The sequence below is a fragment of the Homo sapiens genome, chromosome 19, assembly GCF_000001405.40.
Source record: "Homo sapiens chromosome 19, GRCh38.p14 Primary Assembly".
In the NCBI taxonomy this organism is placed as follows: domain Eukaryota; kingdom Metazoa; phylum Chordata; class Mammalia; order Primates; family Hominidae; genus Homo; species Homo sapiens.
In genome coordinates this window covers 54768782-54790418 of record NC_000019.10, presented here as the reverse complement: position 1 = coordinate 54790418, position 21637 = coordinate 54768782, and the positions used below count along the sequence as shown (strand labels likewise).

At 47.6% G+C, this 21637-nt stretch overlaps 1 protein-coding gene, 1 long non-coding RNA gene and 1 pseudogene across 3 annotated transcripts; 1 reads left to right on the top strand and 2 right to left on the bottom strand.

The window, feature by feature from the left end:
* On the bottom strand, positions 1 to 4057 carry KIR3DP1 (killer cell immunoglobulin like receptor, three Ig domains pseudogene 1; annotated as a pseudogene).
* Positions 6097 to 20626, bottom strand: KIR2DL1 (killer cell immunoglobulin like receptor, two Ig domains and long cytoplasmic tail 1). The gene is made up of 8 exons (NM_014218.3): positions 20535 to 20626; positions 19535 to 19570; positions 16787 to 17086; positions 14961 to 15254; positions 11757 to 11807; positions 7396 to 7497; positions 6881 to 6933; positions 6097 to 6782 (listed from the first exon to the last, which is right to left on the bottom strand). Exons 1-8 carry the CDS (start codon positions 20566 to 20568, stop codon positions 6606 to 6608), a joined length of 1047 nt encoding a protein of 348 aa, NP_055033.2. The 5' UTR covers positions 20569 to 20626; the 3' UTR covers positions 6097 to 6605.
* LOC101928804 (uncharacterized) lies at positions 19355 to 20997 on the top strand. Of its 2 annotated transcripts, none has more exons than NR_110738.1 (3): positions 19355 to 19397; positions 19482 to 19678; positions 20528 to 20997. It is a non-coding gene; the product is annotated as an uncharacterized LOC101928804 (long non-coding RNA). The 2 variants fall into 2 exon arrangements; NR_110737.1 differs by having other exon boundaries at positions 19482 to 19749.

Sequence of the window (21637 nt, the reverse complement as noted above, 5' to 3'; positions counted from 1 at the left end):
GACACCCCCATGGCCACCCCCTCCATCTGAGGCTCCCCTGAATGTGGCCATTGTAGTCCATCTGAGTCCCACTATTTGGGGAACAGACTGGTTTCCTCACCTGTGACAGAAACAAGCAGTGGGTCACTAAGGTCTGACCACTCGTAGGGAGAGTCACGGAAAGAGCCGAAGCATCTGTAGGTCCCTCCGTGGGTGGCAGGGCCCAGAGGAAAGTTGGCCTGGAAGGTTCCATTGACCTTGGGCACTGCAGGGAACCTAAGTTCATGAGCCTCCCCCTCCCTTGATAGATGGTAGATGTCATAGGAGCTCCGGGAGCTGCAGGACAAGGTCACGCTCTCTCCTGCCTTAACCATGGGGCGCGGCTGGGCTGAGAGAGAAGGTTTCCCACATAGACCTGGAAGGAGAAGAGGCAGTTTCCTCAGGGAGGTTCTTCCTTGTCACAACTCCCCTCCCACCTGAGCTGAGAACTCACTCCCCTGCTCTATGGCCTAATGCTCTCTCTCTCTGTCTCACCCTCCACACCATCTCTCTTTATGTCTATTTCCTCTTTCCACCTTCTCTGTCTCTCTAGGTCTCTGACCTCACTTTCTCACCTCTAGATATGTTTTCCCTTTTTGGATTGTTTTATTCTCTCTGACTCTCCTTGGACTAGTTGACTTGATGTTACTTTTTTTAAATTCTGAGTTTCTCACTTTGTGTCCTGTTCATAACTTTCTGCATATTTCTATCTATTATCTATCGATATATCTATTTATCTATTTGGTGCCTATCTACAAATTCTCTACCTGTCATCTATATCTATATATAATCTATTTATCTATCAATTGTCTATCCAAAAATCATCTATTATCTATATCTATGTATCGTCTCTCTCTCTCTATGATTTCTCTTTGTCTGCCTCTCTATCTCTATGTATTATCTATCTATCTTCATCTTCATCATCTCTATGTATCATCGATTAATCAATGAATGAATCAATCATCATCTATGTATCTATAACCTATTATCTATCATCTACCTATTTATCATCTATCTATATCTATCCATCTATCATCTGTCTTGCTCTGCCTCTCGGTCTCTCTAGTTCTCTTTGGAATCTCTGCAATTCATCCCCACATCTCCATCTTTCTATGTCCTTGTGTCTCTCCCTCAGGACTCTAATTTTAGTGCTTTTCTCTGTTCCCTTCCATTGTTCTCTCCACTTCTCTGCCCTCTTTTCTCCCTCTTTATGTGTCTGTGAGTCTCTCAATCTCCTTCCTCTGGCTCATTCTCTGTGTGTTTATGTCTTTGCTTTTTGGTGTCCCTGATTTCTCTCTGTGTCTCTCAGTGATCCTCTCATATGTGGGGTTATTTGGAATGTGAGCCTCAGAATCCAGTCTGGGGACCGCAAGTTCACACAGTATACAGGGGTTGATGTTCTGGGGCCATGATATCCTGGGACGATTACTCTCCATTGCATGGAAGGCAGAGGTGTCAGAATAAACACGGCATCTGTAGGTGCCAGAAGGCCTGAGGCCACAGGGCCCAACTCAGGCCAGAAATATGGGTGTCCTTGGGTTCTTCTGGTAGAGAACACTTTGTGGAAGTAAAACAGAAATGAAACTTCTAACCTGTGCCAGGTCTCTGAGCAAAGTCAGCATGGAAGGACACCTCTCTCTGGCACATGTCTGTCTGTGTCTCCTTTAACTCTTTCTGTCTTTTCTAACTCCCTGTATGGCCCCTGTGTCTGTCCTCTGTTATGACACCTGGTCTGTACTTGTGTCTCCTGTTTCTCTGTCTCTGTTGGTACAGACCTCACCAAGTTAGTCTCTCTCCATAAGAATACCAAGCTCATCTTCCTTATAACCACCTGGGCCTCCAAGTCGTGGATCATTCACTCTGTGTCCCAGTGACAATGAGAATAATGTCCAGACACTCTCACCTGTAATCACGATGTCCAGAGGGTCACTGGGAGCTGACAACTGATAGGGGGAATGAGGAACAGAACCGTAGCATCTGTAGGTCCCTGCAAGGTCTTGCGTCATGCGACCGATGGAGAAGTTGGCCTTGGAGACCCCATCATGGAGCTCTCCAGTGAGGCGCAAAGTGTCATTAAACTTCCCCTCTCTGTGCAGAAGGAAGTGCTCAAACATGACATCTGACCAACATTGCAGGATGACTGTCTCTTCTGATTTCACCAGGGGACCTGGGTGGGCCAGGAGGGAAGGTTTTCTGTGGACTCCTAGGAAGAGAGGTTGTGACTTTAGAAGGCATCTCTCTTTATCATCCCATCCATGGCACCTAGAATGAGTGAGGCTTCCCCTCGCTGGTGTCTTATCTCTCTCCTTCCTCTCTGTGTCTTCATGTTCTTTTCTGTGCCCATAACTCCTGGTACAGGTCCTTCCATCTGTCTCCCTCCCTCTTCTCTGTCCCTCTGTCTCTAGTAGCTCCTGATTCCCTTGCCGCTGGGCTCAGCCTCATCTCTTGGGCTGTTGTATCTATTTCGAACTAATGTCTTTCCTGCTTCTATGTGGGGGTGGAAGAGGAACCAGGATAGGCTGCACGTCCAGGCTCTTAGCAGACTGGTTCAATCTCTTTTGGACGAATTGGAATCCTTGGCAGAAGGTATGAACTGATCAGTAAGGCAGGCACCAGTGTCCACACACCCTGTTCCTGGTGGGGACTGGGAGCCACTCTTGCCATGCCTGTGCCTTCTCCATGGTGCCAGCTTCCATAGGCTGGCTTCTGGTGCTGGTTTGAGGAGTATCAACCCCTCCCTATGTGGATGGAGCCTGGTGGTGGCATCATCATCCCACCCTTGCTGATCTCGGTGTAGCCAACCTTCTCTTTGTTTGGTTTCTTTAATTAATTAATTAATTTTGGAGTCAGAGTCTCACTCCTTCACCCAGGCTGGAGTGAAGTGGTGTGGTCTAGGCTCACTGCAACCTCTGTCTCCTGGGTTCAAGTGATTCTCCTGCCCTCAGCCTCCTGAGTTGCTAGGATTACATGCACCTGCCACCACGCCCGGCTATCCTTGTGTCCTTTCTTATCTTGTCCTTGACCTGGGTTCCAGTGTTGGTTTCCTGTTGGTGCTGTGGAAAATTATCAGAAGCATGGCAGCAGGAGAGAGCACACTGACCCCTTCCGTTTCTGGAGACAGAAATCGGACCCTGTTTTTTGAGGGCTAAAATCAAGGCATCTGCAGGGCTGCGTTCCCTCTGGAGACCCAGGAGAATCAGTTCCTTGACTTTTCCAGCCTCTATAGGCCACCTGCATTCATGGCTCATGGCCTTCCTCCACCTTCAAAGCTGATGGAGACTTCCATTGCACTGCTCTAATCGCCACTCCCCTCTTCCTTCTCCTCTCATGTGCACCCTTGTGATTACACTGAGCCCAGCAGGACAGTCCAGGCTGTCTCCCCATCTCAAGGTCAACTCAACAACCTGAGCTCCATCTTCCCCTTCAGTGCCTTCCCCTATAACATAAATAGTCACAGACTGCAGGGATTAGAATGCAGTCATCATTGGGGACAATTATTCTTTCCACCACAGCACCCATTTCCCTGTATTCAATCCCCTTTTACCCCAAATACAGTTAGGGTCTGGATGATGGGACGCTGGTGGACACTCCCACCAGAAGCTCTGGGACTCAGGAGGTGGGACAAGGAGAATCCCAGACAGGAGCCCTCTGACCTGTGACCATGATCACCAGGGGGTTGCTGGGTGCTGACCACCCAGTGAGGAAGTGTGGGTGTGAACCCCGACATCTGTAGGTCCCTGCATGTGCTGGGGTCACAGGGCCTATGAAAACGGTGTTTCGGAATACTCTGTTGTAGAGCTCAGGGACAGGCATCCCGTCTTCTTTGGACAGACTGAATTCGTTAAACCCAAGACGAGAGCGACACTGAAGAGCCACATGTTCTCCTTCAGACACCACAGGGCTGGGCCAGGCAGAGAGGAAGGGCTTGTCCTGACCACCTGGGGGAGAAGGAGGCGCCACCTTAGAGAGGAGGATGTGGCACTCCCTCCCTCTATTCCTTTCCAGGACTCACCAACACACGCCATGCTGACGACCATGAGCGACATGGTGCTGCCGGTGCAGACAGGCGGCCGCGCCCCAGCTCAGCTCAGCAGCGCACAGGATGTTATTTGGCGCCCTGCCCATGCAGCTTACATGTTGACTACATCATGGGAGGGTGACGTACGCAGGCTCTTTCTACCTTGCATGAGGCCCAGTGGATGCTTGCTCAAGAGCGGAACACGGCTTCCTGGAAATTGTTCTCACTAGAATTGGCACCTCACGTCCTTCACTATGACCAACTCACAACACGTCTCAGATCCAACCTCCCGAACACAAGATGCCTAAAATCTGTGCTAACGTGAAAGACTTTTCATGTATTTTTATCCGAACACGAGATGCCTAAAATCTGTGCTAACATGAAAGACTTTTCATGTATTTTTTTTGTTTTTATCTGAGATTCAAACTCTTCTTCCTGTGTAATATGCAAAGTATCTAATAGGTATTATTAATGTTTTCGGAGTCATTGTGACTAATAAACCATTAGAATTTTTCATGCTTGTATTTCTAGTATTACAGCAGAACCAGCTAAAATGATTTAAATTCCCAGGGAAGGATTATGCAATTATTTACAATCTTAGAATTGTACTTTATCAGCAAAAACCACACCTGTAAATTCTGGAGTTTTGTAGTTTAATCTAAAATTTGTCTCATGACCCAAGATTCCAGAGTCCCAACTCTGGAGTTTGCTCTCTGTCTGTCTCTCTCCCTCCCTCGTTTTAAATTTTACAGAAATATCCAGTAACATAATGCTATAGAAAATCAAGTTTTCCCCAGCACGTTGGGAAGCCGAGGTGGGCGGATCAACTGAGATAAGGAGTTTGAGAGCAGCCTGGCCAATATAGTGAAACCGTGTCTCTGTTAAAAATCCAAAAATTAGCCGTGCCTGGTGGCAGGCACCTGTAACGCCAGCTACTCAAGAGGCTGAGGCACGAGAATCGCTTGAACCTGGGAGGCGGAGGTTGCAGTGAGCTGAGATTGTGCCACTGCAGTCCAGCCTGGGCGACAGAGCAAGACTCCGCCTCAAGAAAAAAAAAGCAAACAGCCTATAATAACAAATTAGAGGGCTCTGGCTACTAAATTTAAAGGGTTCTATAAGGCTACATAAAGTGCAGCATCATCAAGAGTGTGGACACAGAGAGCCCCTTAGCAGAAACAGTGTCTAAAATACATCCATGTACACACAGTCCCTTTAGAGTTGACAAAGGCTGCCGTGTGGTTTAAGGTGGCATAGAATGTCTTCTCAATAAATAATATTAAACCAATTGGTTACACCTAGGAAAAAATAAATCTAACTCACACTATAAAAACACTTCTTAGTTTTTATCTAGTTGTACATTTTTTATGATTTATATTTAAATTTGAGAAATAAAAGTCATATACGGTCATCCTTCACTATTCGTGGGTGATTGGTTTTGAGATCTCCACTCAGATACCAAAATCTGTAGATGCTCAAGCCTCTTATATGAAATGGCACAGCGTTTGCAAATAACCTATGCACATCCTCCTGTATACATGAAATCATCTCTAGATTACTTATAATTCCTGATACAGCCTACACACAGCTTCATTTGTGTCCATTCAACATAGTTATGCTTTTTGAAACTCTGTGGATACTTTCTCTCAATATTTTTGATTTATACTTGGTTCAATAAACACCTGTAAACCCCGCAGATATGGAGGAGTGACCGTATATTTATATTATGAAAGATGATGTGTTGATATGTGTCCCCATGGAGATGAGACTAACAAGGCCTATGATTCTACAAATGTTTCATTGTGGAATGACTCTGCCAGCTTTCCAGGTCTGCAGAGAGTAAGAGTATCACTTGTTCATATGATTCGTGATCCTTGGAACCTCCTATGTGCTACATCTTTGGATGGAAATTGGAGTCCCAGAGACAAATGAGGCTCCACCCTGCTTCCAGAAACTCAGAGTCCGGGGATGAGAACTCAGTGGGGAACAGATGGGATTATATGGACATGGTACTGATAACACCGGAAGCCTTAGGCAAGAAAAGAGTCCCATTACCGAAACCATGGGGGCAGACATGTTTATTTGAAGGATGGAAAACTACATTGAAGTTATTTTAAAAAATATATAAGTTTTACTGCTGACAGAAGACTGAAAGCTAGTCTGAGGGGAGGTGGAACAGCATGAGGGAAGGTGGAACAACACGTGTCTAAGTGCTGCGTTAAGAGGGAGCCTCTTGTATGTTTGGAATTGTGAGTTCCTCAGTGTGATTGCAGCCTCAAGTAGACTAGGAAGTAAGCCAGTTAGGTTGGAGAGGTGGGCAGGGGTCAAGTGAAATGGAGAACTGTGGGTTAAGCAAAGGAGTGTGTTTTTTCTCCAGCAGGCAGTGGGGACCTTAGACATTTGTAAGCAAGAGAGAGGCACATTCAGATTTGTGGTGTGAGGAAGATCGATGCCCTAAGATGCAGACTCACGCCTTCAGATTCCAGCTGCTGGTACATGGGAGCTGGCAACCCGGTTTTGAGACAGGGCTGTTGTCTCCCTAGAAGACGCCCTCAAGGCCTGACTGTGGTGCTCATGGGCAGGAGACAACTTTGGATCTGGACTCAGCATTTGGAAGTTCCGTGTACACGATGATATCTGTTGGGGGTGTCTTGGGCCTCTGAGAAGGGCGAGTGATTTTTCTCTGTGTGAAAACGCAGTGATTCAACTGTGTGTATGTCACCTCCTGAGGGTCTTGTTCATCAGAGTCCTGGAGAGAGGGAAATGCTGAGTGAGGGAGGGTGCTCACATTTTCCAGGACTCTTTGGGAATAACAGTAGCCACGAGCCCGGGCCGAGGAGTACCTACCTCGCTATTCGCTGTTCTGTTTCCTGCAGACTCTTGGTCCATTACCGCAGCATCTGTAGAAGATGGAAGTCAACAAAACAGCTCGGAGGGCACTTCTGGGTCCTCATTTCATAAGCAGATACCAACATACAGGGGGAGACCATAGGTGGCTGAGGTCCCTCAGTTGCCAACAGCAGACTCAGACATTCTATCTCTCTGAGCTCAAGGACCCATCCCATGAATAGCTCTGAGTTCCCATCCCATTGATTCTGTCTCCCACTTTCTGCCTGTCATGGAACCTTCTCCTGGATGTGAGTGGCTGCAGGGGACATGGGGATACAGTTCAGAATCAGGCAACGGTCTGTGAGTTGAAGGCAGGGACAGGGAGTCTGGTGCCCTCTCTAGAAAGTCCTGCCTCTGTGGCTGCTGCCTTGGGCCAGGGACCATCCTGTTTGTGAGGAACACACACCTGAGTGCTCCCATCCTGCTTCCCCACATGGCCCTGAGCTCTCTGGCCTCTGCTTCGTGAGACTTACTTTTTTTGTTGGAGCACCAGCGATGAAGGAGAAAGAAGAGGAGGATGAAGAGGATGATGACCACTGAGGTCCCAATCAGAATGTGCAGGTGTCGGGGGTTACCTGGAAGAAGATGAGACACCAATAAGAAGCTAATCTTAGCAGTTCCTCTTTATGAATTGTCTCGCATTTCTTGATTGACAGGTAACCACATAAAACACCTCTTTAGGACAAGCACCCAGATGGCAGGAGACCCAGCTTTCTCCTGCTTTTTCTGTTATAGCTCTCATAGTAACCATAGAACGTGCTGAGGATACGACTACTTTAGTTGAGATGTTTGACCCCTTCAAACCTCACATTGAAATTTCACCCCCACTGTGGGAGGTTGGGCCTCTTGAGAGGTGTTTGGGTCATGGAGGTGGATCCATCATGAACACATCAATGCTGTCCCAAGGAGACGGGGTTAGCAAGTTCCCCCTCTATTAGTTCCCGGAGAGCTGGTTGTTAAAAAGAGCTTGGAAGCTCCATCACTCCCCCTCCCCCTTGCTCCCTCTCTTGCCGTGTGATCTCTGTGGTCTCTGCACAGACAGACCCTCCTTCCCTTCTGCCAGAGTGGGAGCAGCCTGAGGCCGTCACGAGAAATAGATGCTGGTGCCATGCTTCCAGTACAGCCTGCAGAACGGTGAGGCAAACCAATCTCTTTTCTTTAGAAGTTACCGAGGCTCAAGTGTTCCTTTAGAGCAACAAAAATGGCCTAAGACAGCAACTTCCTGAGATCAGGAGGAACGTCTCAGAACACCCTGGGCTGTCTTCCTGTTCTTCCTGGAGGACGTCATGCAGTGCTTTAGCTGAGTGCTTCCTGTGGCTCCAGGGTACAAAACCCAGGCTGGGCTGCTTTCTGGCTTCCCGCAGCTACACTGCAAATGGGGTGACTCCATATGTCCCGAGGAGCTTTTCTGAGCCTTGAGGGACTGGGTCACATTGAAATATAGGTTTCTGTTGTCACTCGCTGCTTATCTGTTAGTAATGAACCTGCCTATGTAACGTATTCTCTGTGTGTTCTGTCTCCCTGGAGTGACGGTGAGTGATAGGAATTGGCATAGGCCCAGGTGCAGTCCAGGAGGTGTTTAGAGTCTTCTCTGGGAAGACTGGACTGGGATTGATTCACAGCGAATGTGCTTTAGGGTTTCTACATCCACAGCATTCTTGAATCAAACAACTTGCATTCTCCAAGGAAAGAAAACAAAAGTGAAATCAAGATAAAAAAAGCGAAATAGAATTCTCTTATGTCAAACGGCCAGGAAATAGTGTTGAAGCCCGTGTGAAACCTGCTGCTCTTTGTGATCTCGGGAGACACATATTAGGCTGCTGTTCTACCCGAGAGGCTGGGGGAAGGACCACCCCCTCGGCCATCTATTGCTTCAAAACCACCTGTCCTCCTGTGAATTAGTAGGAAAGGGGAGCAGGAGCTAGTGCTGTCGCTGATCTCTGATTCCAAGATCTGGACTCACTTCAAGGAGTGTTAATGTTTACCTCCCCATGGTCTATCTGAATCTCCACAGGTGATTGGAAGTAGGGGTGAGGTGGGGGATTTGGGTGAGTGGGCAAGTTTTTTTTGTGATGACCAGAGCACTTTCTCTATTCCAGGATCTGTGCTGGAGGATTCAGCGGGCTTTCACATTTTCTATATGATCTCATGCTCACAGAAAGCCAAATAGGGAAGAGGTTTTAGGCTCATTGCCTAATGGATAAGATAAAGGATCAAAGAAGTAATTATAGAGAAATAGAAAAACGATGATTGGAATTCAGGTGCCTTTGTCATTCGTGTGTGTTTTATTATATTTATGTATTTCTTATTTTTATTTTTTGAGATAGAGTCTCCTTGTGTCCCCCAGGCTGGAGTGCAGTGATGCAATCTCCACTCACTGCAACCTCCACCTACTGGGTTGAAGTCATTCTCCTGCTTCATCCTCCAGAATAGGAGCTGGGATTACAGGGATGCACCATCGTGCTCGGCTAATTTTTGTATTTTTAGTAGAGATAGGGTTTCACCACGTTGGCCAGGCTGGTCTGGAACTCCTGACTTCATGGAATCCACCCACCTTGGCCTCCTGCAGTGCTAGGTTACAGGCGTGAGCCACTGTTCACAGACTTGTATATTATGCTATAATAAGTCTCTTCATTTCCACCACCACTCATATATCTGTCACTCCTTTGCCAGGTATTGATTTATGTGTAGGATGAATAAATCTCAGAAAGAAATTAATTAAGCGAGGATTAAACAAGTAGGAAAATCAAACCCAGTAAGCCTTTCCAGTCAATGATTCTACCTCACAAACATATCTTATATCCATCTACTTCATTCATTTAGTGTCTAAATCAGCACCACATTTCACCAGTGGGGCGGCAATTGCCTTTTCCACGGTCTCCTAGATTCCAGTTATGCACCTGGGCCTCCCTTATTTTCATGTCAGTCATATTAATCATGTAGGGATTCCTGGTTACCCCGAGGTGAATCCAATGGCTGTGAGTGTCAAACACACACTCCTTGTTGCTCCTTAGTTTCCTGTGTACCCAGTGTGCTCTCCGTCTCTCTACAGTCGTCTTGTCATTCTCCCCACCTCATTCCCAGCATTTGAGTCAGAGCCTCTTCCTTCCACATCAGATTGTTTTCACCTTTGTGCCTTCATGGCTGACAGCTGTGTGTGCAAAATCCTTCCGCCAATCTTTCAGGGGTTCATTCCGTGTTTTTCATTAATGTCACAAATATCTGAATAGTGAGACCTTCTTTGTCACCTGAAATCATACACTCAGCATTATCTATTATTGATTTTGAATTCTGGCTGGGCACAGTGGCTCACGCCTGTAGTCCCATTACTTTGGCATGCTGAGACGGTCGGATCACTTGAGGTTGGGAGTTTCAGACAAGCTTGGCCAACGTGGTGAAACATCCTCTCTACAAAAAATATACAAAAAGAATTAGCCGGGCACGGTGGCAGTTGCCTGTAATCCCAGCTACTCGAGAGGCGGAGGCAGGAGAATCACTTGAATCCAGGAGACGCAGGTTGCAGTGAGCCAAGATCGTGACACTGCACTGTAGCCTGGAAGACAGAGGGCGACTCTGTCTCAATAAACAAAAGAACAAACAAAAAATAGATTTCATGCACAGATGCTTCCCAATGGACCATTCATTTATAGATCCACTTGTGCGTTCATTTTCTGCCCTCCCATTTAACCATCTGCAATATCAGTGTCCCAAGGGCAGAGGCCAAATGCATCTTGTTCACTGTTTGTGGAAGGCAGGAGAATGCTGTCCCACCCCAAAATGTCCCTGTCCTAGCCTCCATAGCTTGTGAATATGTTATTTTACATGGAAAGGAGGAATGAAGATTGCAGATGGAATTATGGTTGCTAATCAGCTGAACTTAAAACAAGGGTATCCTGGATGATTTCCAGGAGATTATGAGGGATTTTCATCTTGGTGAACCCAATAGAATCCCCAAGTTTTCAAAAGATGAGGAAGAAGGGAGAGCAGCACTCAGAGAAAGAGGTGTGGTAAGGAAGAAGGCACTGAGTGATGCCATGTGAGATGTGACCAGTCTTTGTGGGCTTTGAGGAAGGAGGAAGGGGACCAGGAGCCAAGGAACTGGGAGCCTTTAGAAGCTGGGACAAGTGAGAAGCAGATTCGTGCCTGGAATCCTCAGAGGGAAGGCAGCCTTGCTGTCACCTTGATTTTAGCCCAGTAAGATGCACTTCCTACTTTGAGCTACAGCACTGTAAGATAATTAAAAAACCGTTTTGTTTTCACCCACGAATCTTGTGGAAATTTGTTATGGCAACAATAGGAAAAGGTTCCACACTGCACAGCCTGAGCATGGGGCCGTGGCTGAATGAGTCAGTGAGTCGAAGTGTGCGTGCATGAGCTCTGTTCTCTGTTACGGCAAGGCTCTTTCTCTGCGGAGTCAGCCAGGGTTGCTTCATGACCTACAGGAGCTCATTCCTTGGCAAGTGGAACTTCTCTAAAACACCTTGCCCTCATCAGATGTTCCCTTCCCTTCCCTCTCTCAAGTCTCCAGGAATTTATCCTCCAGTTAGGAATGCAGGTAGAACAAACATTGCATTTTTCCTGAGAAGGATGTCAGATTGGCAATCATTCTTCTAGCTTGTAGGAGGTCTCAGCTCCATAAAATGAGAGATGAAGAGATTTCACTGAGCCCTGTGTTGGGCCCAGATCCCTTTCGCTGTAGGAGTATCTGGAGTTCGGAGATGGTGGAAGACAAGTGTACAATGTCAGAGCTGTGAGATGCTGAGTCAACGCCTGAATCCAAGGTTCCCACCTCCCCAGGGTTCCAAAAGCGGATATAAGAGGGTTCTGTACTCACCGGTTTTGGAGCTTGGTTCAGTGGGTGAAGGCCAACTATTTGAAGGGTTTCCTAGAACATGAGACAGGAGAGAGGTGAGGAAATGAGGGTGTCTGTCCTCCACTCAGTGGAAATCTTTGAGGATGGTTCATGGCCAACACTCTCTTATCTAATATTGAGCCCTGGGAGTCCTGGGATCCTTTTTTCCATAATTTTTTTATATGACACCCACTGTCTTGAGACTTCAAGATATAAAGAGAAAACAGGAGCATCACACTACCTGATCTCAAAATATGTTACAGAGCTGTAGTAAGCAAAATAGCATGACATTGGCATAAAGAAAGGCACATAGAACAACGGAGCAGAATGAATAACACAGATATATTCCATGCATTTACATCCAATGGTTTTTTATTTTTTCTTTTGAGATGGAGTCTTGCTCTGTCACTCAGGCTGGAGTGCAGAGGTGCAATCTCGGTTCACTGCAACCTCAGCCTCCTGGGTTCAATCATTCTCTTGCCTCAAATTCCTGAGTAGTGGTATTACAGGTGCTGACCACCATGCTCAGCTAATTTTTATATTTTTAGTGGAGACGATGTTTCATCACGTTGGCCAGACTAATCTTGAACTCCTGGCCTCAGGTGATCCACCCACCTCGGGCTCCCAAAGTGCTGAAATTGCAGGTGTTAGCCACCAAGCCCAGCCCATCCAATGGACTTTGACAAAGATGCCAAGAACTCACAATCAGGAAAGGACAGTCTTTTCAATAAACAGTGCAGGGAAACCTGGACATCTACATGCAGAGGAATGAAACTGCAACTCTACCTGTCACCATACACAAAAATCAAATGAAAATGGATTAAAGATGTGAGTCTAAGGCCTGAACCTATGAAACACGTAGAACAAAATATTGGGGAAATGCTCCAGGACGTTTGTCTGAAGGAAGACATTTTGTTTTAAACCTTCAAAACACAAGTAATCGAAGCAAAAATAGACCATTGGGATTACCTCAAACTAAGCAACTTCAGCACTGCTAAAAATAAACCAACAAAGTGAAGAGACAACCCACAGATTGGGAGCAAATATGTGCAAACTATGCATCTGAGATGGGATTAATAACTAGAAATATAAGAAGCTCAAACAACTCAATAAAACAAATGATTTAATTGAAAAAGGAGCAAAAGACATGAAATTTCCCCACATACGAAAAAGTGCTCAGTATCACTCATCATCAGAGAAACGCAAATTAAAATCAAAGTGAGTTTTCATCTCACCCCATTAAAATGGCTTTTAGGCCGGGTGAGGTGGCTCACTTGTGTCATCCTAGAACTTTGAGAACCTGAGGTGGGTGAATCTCATAAGGTTGGGAGTTTGAGACCAGTCTGACCCACATAGAGAAACGCTGTCTCTACTAAAAATACAAAAATTAGTAGGGCGTGGTGGCGTGTGCCTGTAATTCCAGCTACTCGGGAGGCTGAGGCAGGAGAATCGCTTGAACCTGGGAGGTGGAGGTTGTGGTGAGCCGAGATAGCGCCACTGCACTCCAGCCTGGGTGAGAAGAGCAAAACTCCATCTCAAAATAAAATGAAATAAAATAAAATGGCTTTTAGCTGCAAGACAGGCAAAAGAAATGCTGGCAAGGTGGTAGAGAAAGGAGAACCCTGGTACCCTGTTGGGAGGAGTGTAAATTAGTACAGCCATTACGGAGAAAAGTATGGAAGTCCTTTAAAGAACTAAAAAGAGGTTGGGTGAGGTGGATCATGCCTGTAATCCCGGCACTTTGGGAGACTGAGGCGGGCACCTCAGTTGAGGTCATGAGTTTGAGAGCAGCCCAGCCAACATGGGGAAACCGCATCTATACTAAAAAAACCAAAAAGTAGCCAGGCATGGTGGTGTGCACCTGTAATCCCAGCTACTAGGGAGGCTGAGGCAGGAAAATCATTTGAACCCAGGAGGCGGAGGTTGCAATGAGCCAAGGTTGCACCACTTTGACTCCAGCTTGGGCTAAGGAGGGAAACTCTTTCTCAAAAAAGAAAAAAAAAAAAAAAAGAGAACTTTCATAGTATCCAGCAATTTCACTACTGGGTTTATATCCAAAGGAAAGTAAATCAACATATCGAAGTGATATCTGCACTCGTATGATTGGTGCAGCACTGTTCACAGTAGCCAAGATGAGGAGTCAACCTACCTGCCCATCAGTGGGTGAATGGATAGAGAGAATGTAGTACATACGCACAGTGGAGACTACTCATCCATAGAAAGAATAACATCCTGTCATTTGCAGCCACATGGATGGAACTGGAGGTCATTAAAAAGATTCCCATTTCTCACCCATATACAGGAGCTAAAAGGTGGATCTCATGAAGGTAGAGAGTAGAATGGTGGCTACTGGAGGACAGGAAGAAAAGGGTGGAGGGTAAAAAAAATGTATATATATATATATATAAAAATGTATTTATGACCACTAGACTTTACACTTAAAAATGGTAAATGTGGCTGGGCCTGGTGGCCCATGCCTGTAATCCCAGCACTTTGGGAGGCTGATGCGGGTGGATCACGTGGTCAGGAGTTCGAGACCAGCTCGACCAACATGGTGAAACCACCTCTCTACTAAAAATACAAAAAGTAGCCTGGCGTGGTGGTGCGTGCCTGTAGCACTAGCTACTCAGGTGGCTGAGGCAGGAGAATCGCTTGAACCCAGGAGGCGGAGGTTGCAGTGAGCTGAGATTGTGCCACTGCACTCCATCATAGGGGACAGAGCTAGACTCCACCTCAAAAAAAAATGTTAAAAGTGGTAAGCTATATAGGTATATTTATCCTCAATAAATATTTCTTCAAAGAAAAGTAAAGGGTGTAGGGGTTGCTGGTGATGACATCTCTGTGTGGGTGAGAGGCCAGGATGGGCTTCTGGGAAATGGGTAAGGTTGAGGGGCTGAGGGAACCTCTGATCTCCCCAAACTGAGCCCAGTCTCCCTCCTCTGGGTCTCTCCTGACCGCTTTCTCCATCTGCCTGGGTGCCTGGAGCCCTGGCCGTGGGCCTCCATGCAGGCCATGTAGGAGGGTTTGGAGGTGCCCTGTCGGCCATCCTGTGCCCTGATCCCTCCCTCACACCGAGGCTGCGTCTTCTCTCTGCATCTGTCCATGCTTCTCTCCATCCTCAGCAGGAAGCTCCTCAGCTAAGGCTCTAGGATCATAGGACATGGGACAGCCATGGGCTTTCCTCACCTGTGACAGAAACAAGCAGTGGGTCACTTGACTTTGACCACTCGTATGGAGAGTCATGGAAAGAGCCGAAGCATCTGTAGGTCCCTCCGTGGGTGGCAGGGCCCAGAGGAAAGTCAGCCTGGAATGTTCCGTTGACCTTGGGCCCTGCAGGGAGCCTACGTTCATGGGCCTCCCCTTCCCTGGATAGATGGTACATGTCATAGGAGCTCCGGGAGCTGCAGGACAAGGTCACATTCTCTCCTGCCAGAACCGTGGGGCCCAGCTGGGCTGAGAGAGAAGGTTTCTCATATAGACCTGGAAGGAGAAGAGGCAGTTTCCTCAGGGAGGATCTTCTTTGTCACAGCTCCCTTCACCTGAGCTGAGAACTCACTCCCCTGTTCTATGACCTAATGCTCTCTCTCTCTCTCTCTCACCCTCTACCCCATCGCTCTTCATGTCTATTTCCTCCTTCCACCTTCTCTGTCTCTCTAGGTCTCTGACCTCACTTCCCCACCTCTAGATATGTTTTCTCTTTTTGGATTGTTTTATTCTCTCTGACTCTCCTTGGATTGGTTGACTTGATGTTACTTTTTTTAATTCTGAGTTTCTCACTTTGTGTCCTGTTCATAACTTTCTGCATATTTCTATCTATTATCTATCGATCTATCTATTTATCTATTCGGTGCCTATCTACAAATTCTCTACCTGTCATCTATATCTATATATCATCTATTTATCCATCAATTGTCTATCTATCCATCAATCATCTATTATCTATATCTATGTATCATCTCTCTCTCTCTATGATTTCTCTATGTCTGCCTCTGTATCTCTATGTATTATCTATCTATCTGTCTTCATCATCATCATCTCTATGTCTCATCTATTAATGAATCAATCAATCATCATCTATGTATCTATAACCTATTATCTATCATCTACCTATTTATCATCTATCTATATCTATCCATCTATCATCTGTCTTGCTCTGCCTCTCGGTCTCTCTAGTTCTCTTTGGAATCTCTGCAATTCATCCCCACATCTCCATCTTTCAATGTCCTTGTGCCTCTCCCTCAGGAGTCTAATTTTAGTGCTTTTCTCTGCTCCCTTCCATCATTCTCACCACTCCTCTGCCCTCTTTTCTCTCTCTTTATGTGTCTGTGAGTCTCTCAATCTCCTTCCTCTGGCTCATTCTCTGTGTGTTTATGTCTTTGCTTTTTGGTGTCCCTGATTTCTCTCTGTGCCTCTCACTGATCCTCTCATAAGTGGGCTTATTTGGAATATGAGCCTCAGAATCCAGTCTGGAGACTACAAGTTCACACAGCATACAGGGGTTGGTGTTGTGGGGCCATGATATCCTGGGACGATTACTCTCCATTACATGGAAGGCAGAGGTGTCAGAATAAACATGGCATCTGTAGGTGCCACAAGGCCTGAGGCCACAGGGCCCAACTCAGGTCAGAAATATGGGTGTCCTTGGGTTCTCCTGGTAGAGAACACTTTGTGGAGGTAAAACAGAAATGAAACTTCTAACCTGTGCCAGGTCTCTGAGCAAAGTCAGCATGGAGGGACACCTCTCTCTGGGACATGTCTGTCTGTGTGTCTCCTTTAACTCTTTCTGTCTTTTCTAACTCCCGGTATGGCCCCTGTGTCTGTTCTCTGTTATGACACCTGGTCTCTACTTGTGTCTCCTGTTTCTCTGTCTCTGTTGGCACAGACCTCACCAAGTCAGTCTCTCTCCATAAGAATACCAAGCTCATCTTCCTTACAGCCACCTGGGTCTCCAATTCCTGGATCATTCACTCTGCATCCCAATGACAATGAGAAGAAAGTCTGGACACTCTCACCTATGATCACGATGTCCAGAGGGTCACTGGGAGCTGACACCTGATAGGGGGAGTGAGTAACAGAACCGTAGCATCTGTAGGTCCCTGCCAGGTCTTGCGTCATGCGACTGATGGAGAAGTTGGCCTTGGAGACCCCATCATGGTGTTCTCCAATGAGGCGCAAAGTGTCGTTAAACATCCCCTCTCTGTGCAGAAGGAAGTGTTCAAACATGACATCTGACCAACACTGCAGGATGACTGTCTCTTCTGATTTCACCAGGCGACCTGGGTGGGCCAGGAGGGAAGGTTTTCTGTGGACTCCTAGGAAGAGAGGTTGTGAGTTTAGAAGGTGTCTCTCTTTATCATCCCATCCATGGCACCTGGATTGAGTCAGGCTTCCCCTTCCTGGTGTCTTATCTCTCTCCTTCCTCTCTGTGTCTTCATGTTCTTTTCTGTGCCCATAACTCCTGGTGCAGGTCCTTCCATCTGTCTCCCTCACTCTTCTCTGTCCCTCTGTCTCTAGTAGCCTCTGATTCCCTTGCCGCTGGGCTCAGCCTCATCTCTTGGGCTGTTGTATCTATTTCGAACTAATGTCTTTCCTGCTGTCTATGTGGGGGTGGAAGAGGAACCAGGATAGGCTGCACATCCAGGCTCTTAGCAGCCTGGTTCAATCTCTTTTGGACGAATTGGAATCCTTGGCAGGAGGTATGAACTGATCAGTAAGGCAGGCACCAGTGGCCACACACCCTGTTCCTGGTAGGGACTGGGAGCCACTCTTGCCATGCCAGTGCCAGCTTCCATAGGCTGGCTCCTGGTGCTGGTTGGAGGAGTATCAACCCCTCCCTATGTGGATGGAGCCTGGTGGTGGCATCATCATCTGAGCCTTGCTGATCTCAGTGTAGCCAACCTTCTCCTTGTTTGGTTTCTTTAATTAATTAATTAATTTTGGCGACAGAGTCTCACTCCTTTGCCCAGGCTGGAGTGAAGTGGTGTGGTCTAGGCTCACTGCAACCTCTGTCTCCTGGGTTCAAGTGATTCTCCTGCCCTCAGCCTCCCAAGTCGCTAGGATTACATGCACCTGCCACCATGCCTGGCTATCCTTGTGTTGTTTCTTAACTTGTCCTTGACCTGGGTTCCAGTGTTGGTTTCCTGTTGCTGCTGTAGAAAATTATCAGAAGCATGGCACCAGGAGAGAGCACACTAACCCCTTCCAATTCTGGAGACAGAAATCGGACCCTGTTTGTCGTGGGTAAAATCAAGGCACCTGCAGGGCTTCGTTCCCTCTGGAGACTCAGGAGAATCAGTTCCTTGACTTTTCCAGCCTCTATAGGCCACCTGCATTCATGGCTCCTGGACTTCCTCCACCTTCAAAGCTGATGGAGACTCCCATTATGCTGCTGTAATCCCCACTCCCCTCTTCCTCCTCCTTTCATGTGGACCCCTGTGACTACACTGAGCCCATCAGGACAGTCCAGGCTGTCTCCCCATCTCAAGGTCAACTCATCAACAACCTGAGCTCCATCTTCTCCTTCAGTCCCTTCCCCTATATCATAAATAGTCACAGACTCCAGGGATTAGAATGTAGTCATCACTGGGGACAATTATTCTTCCCACCACAGCACCCATTTCCCTGTATTCAATCCCCCTTTACCCCAAATACAGTCAGGACTTGCATGATGGGACCCGCAAGGACACGCCCACCAGGAGCTCTGGGATTCAGGAGGTGGGACAAGGAGAATCCCAGACAGGAGCCCTCTGACCTGTGACCGTGATCTCCAGGGGGTTGCTGGGTGCCGACCACCCACTGGGGTAGTGTGGTTGTGAACCCCGACATGTATAGGTCCCTGCGTGTGCTGGGGTCACAGGGCCCATGAAAAGGCTGTTCCAGAATATTATGTTGTAGAGCTCAGGGACAGGCACCCCATCTTCCTTTTACAGACTGAAGTTGTTAAACCCAAGATAAGAATGACACTGAAGAATCACATGTCCTGGAGGCACCACAGGGCTTGGCCAGGCAGACAGCAAGGGCTTGTCCTGACCACCGTGGGGAGAAGGAGGCACCGCCTTAGAGAGGAGGATGTGGAGCCGCCCCTCCCTCCCTGTGCTCTGAAGATTCTCCTCGCTTTCCAAGTTTCTATGGCTGCTATCACACCTTGGTGCCCAGGGCTAAAGGAAGGACCCATCCCGCAAACACAAGGTGTCTCCCTACAACAAAAGTGTCAGCTGAGAACTTTGAGCAAGTGCTGAGTAAGAGACTCCTACTAGATTTTAATACTGTAAGATTACTCACATAAAACAACACAGGGTAGACATGGGGTGGAGGGCATGTCCTTTGAGAATGGAATATCAGCCGATGCCTGAACGAAAATAAACAACTGAGTCCCCATCAGAGGATTGGAATGTCAGGGCCATGGCTGTGGTTTTCCCACCTCTTCTGGTAGAATGACAGCAGCCACACTGCAGCCCCTACCGTCATGGAAACGCTGAAGTGTGTGAGTAACACCTTTGTCCTCAGAGGATCTGCTGTTCCTACCACTTCCCCACCACACACCCCAGCTTTGAGCACCGTAGTCTAACCCTGGTCCCCACAGAACTTGACTCTGCCAAGGGAATGAAAGGCCAGGGAGGCAAGGTCAGAAATGTGGGCCCAGCACCCCAGGGTCCCTTCTTCCTAGTTTATGAGAGACTCCCTGACAGGACTTCCCTCCCATTTCAGGAAAATCCTCTTATGTGGGGAGATGACACCCGAAGGTTGGGAGAAGGACTCACCCTCATGTGGCCAGGCCCCCTGCAGCAAGAAGAACCCTGGAAAGAAAGATCATGATGGATGACCCATCTGCAGGCAAACCAGGGCACCCTTGCTGCCCCCACTGGGCTGTGAGTCTTGGTAGCCAGGCCCTTCCTGGGCTGAAGGTAAACTCACCCTCAGTGCCTACCTGCACCCAAGAACAGGGCTGTCGGCTGTGCAGAGACCCAGCCTCCAGGTCCATATCCCCACCTCAAGCCCATATCTCCACTCCAGGCCCATATCTCCACTCCAGGCCGATATTTCCACCCTAAGCCCATATCGCCAATCCAGGCCCATATCTCCAATCCAGGCTCAGATCTCCACCCTGGGCCCATATCTCCAATCCAGGCCCTTATCTCCACTCCAGGTCCATATCTCCTCTCCAGTCCCATATCTCCACTCCAGGCCCATATATCCTCTCCAGTCCCATATCTCCACACCCAGGCCCGTATCTCCATCCTAGGCACATATCTCCTCTCCAGGCCCAGATATCGACCTCTAGGCCCATATCTCCACTCCTGGCCCATATCTCCACTCCAGGCCCAGATATCGACCTCTAGGCCCATATCTCCACTCCTGGCCCATATCTCCACTCCAGGCCCATGTCTCCACTTCAGGCCCATATCTCTACTGCAGGCCCATAACTCCACCTCCAGGCCCATGACTCCACTCCAGGCCCATATCTCCACCTCCAGGCCCATATCTCCCCTCCAGGTTCCTATCTCCCCTCCAGGTTCCTATCTCCACTCCAGGCCCAGATCTCCACTACAGTCCCATCACTCCACCTCCAGGCCTATATCTCGACCTCTGGGCCCAGATCTCCACTTCTAGGCCCATCACTCCATCTCTAGGCCCATATATCCACTCCAGGCCCAGATCTCCACTCCAGGCCCATAACTCCACCTCCAGGCCTATATCTCCACCTCTGGGCCCAGATCTCCATCCCCTCACTCCCTCCCTCTATTGCTTTCCAGGACTCACCAACACACGCCATGCTGACGACCAAGAGCGACATGGTGCTGCCGGAGCAGACAGGCAGCCGCGACCGAGCTCAGCTCAGCAGCGCACAGGATGTTATTTGGCGCCCTGCCCATGCAGTTTACATGTTGACCACATCATGGGAGGGTGACGTACGCAGGCTCTTTCTACCTTGCATGAGGCCCAGTGGGTGCTCGCTCAAGAGCGGAACACGGCTTCCTGGAAATTGTTCTCGCTAGAATTTGACACCTAGTGTCCTTCACTATGACCAACTCAAAACACGTCTGAGATCCAACCTCCCGAACACGAGATGCCTAAAATCTGTGCTAACATGAAAGACTTTTCATGTATTTCTATTGTTTTTATCTGAGATTCAAACTCTTCTTCCTGTGTAATATGCAAAATATCTAATAGGTATTATTAATGTTTTCAGAGTCATTGTCACTAATAAACCATTAGAATTTTTCATGCTTGTATTTCTAGTATTACAGCAGAACCAGTTAAAATGATTTAAATTCCCAGGGAAGGATTATGCAATTATTTACAATCTTAGAATTGTACTTTATCAGTAAAAACCCCACCTGTAAATTCTGGAGTTTTGTAGTTTAATCTAAAATTTGTCTCATGACCCAAGATTCCAGAGTCCCAACTCTGGAGTTTGTTTTCCGTCTGTCTCTCTCCCTCCCTCATTTTAAATTTTACAGAAATATCCAGTAACATAATGCTATAGAAAATCAAGTTTCCCCAGCACGTTGGGAAGCCGAGGTGGGCGGATCAACTGAGATAAGGAGTTTGAGAGCAGCCTGGCCAATATAGTGAAACCGTGTCTCTGCTAAAAATCCAAAAATTAGCCGTGCCTGGTGGCAGGCACCTGTAACGCCAGCTACTCAAGAGGCTGAGGCATGAGAATCGCTTGAACCTGGGAGGCAGAAGTTGCAGTGAGCTGAGATTGTGTCACTGCAGTCCAGCCTGGGCGACAGAGCAAGACTCCGCCTCAAGAAAAAAAAGCAAATAGCCTATAATAACAAATTAGAGAGCTCTGGCTACTAAATTTAAAGGGTTCTATAAGGCTACATAAAGTGCAGCATCATCAAGAGTGTGGACAC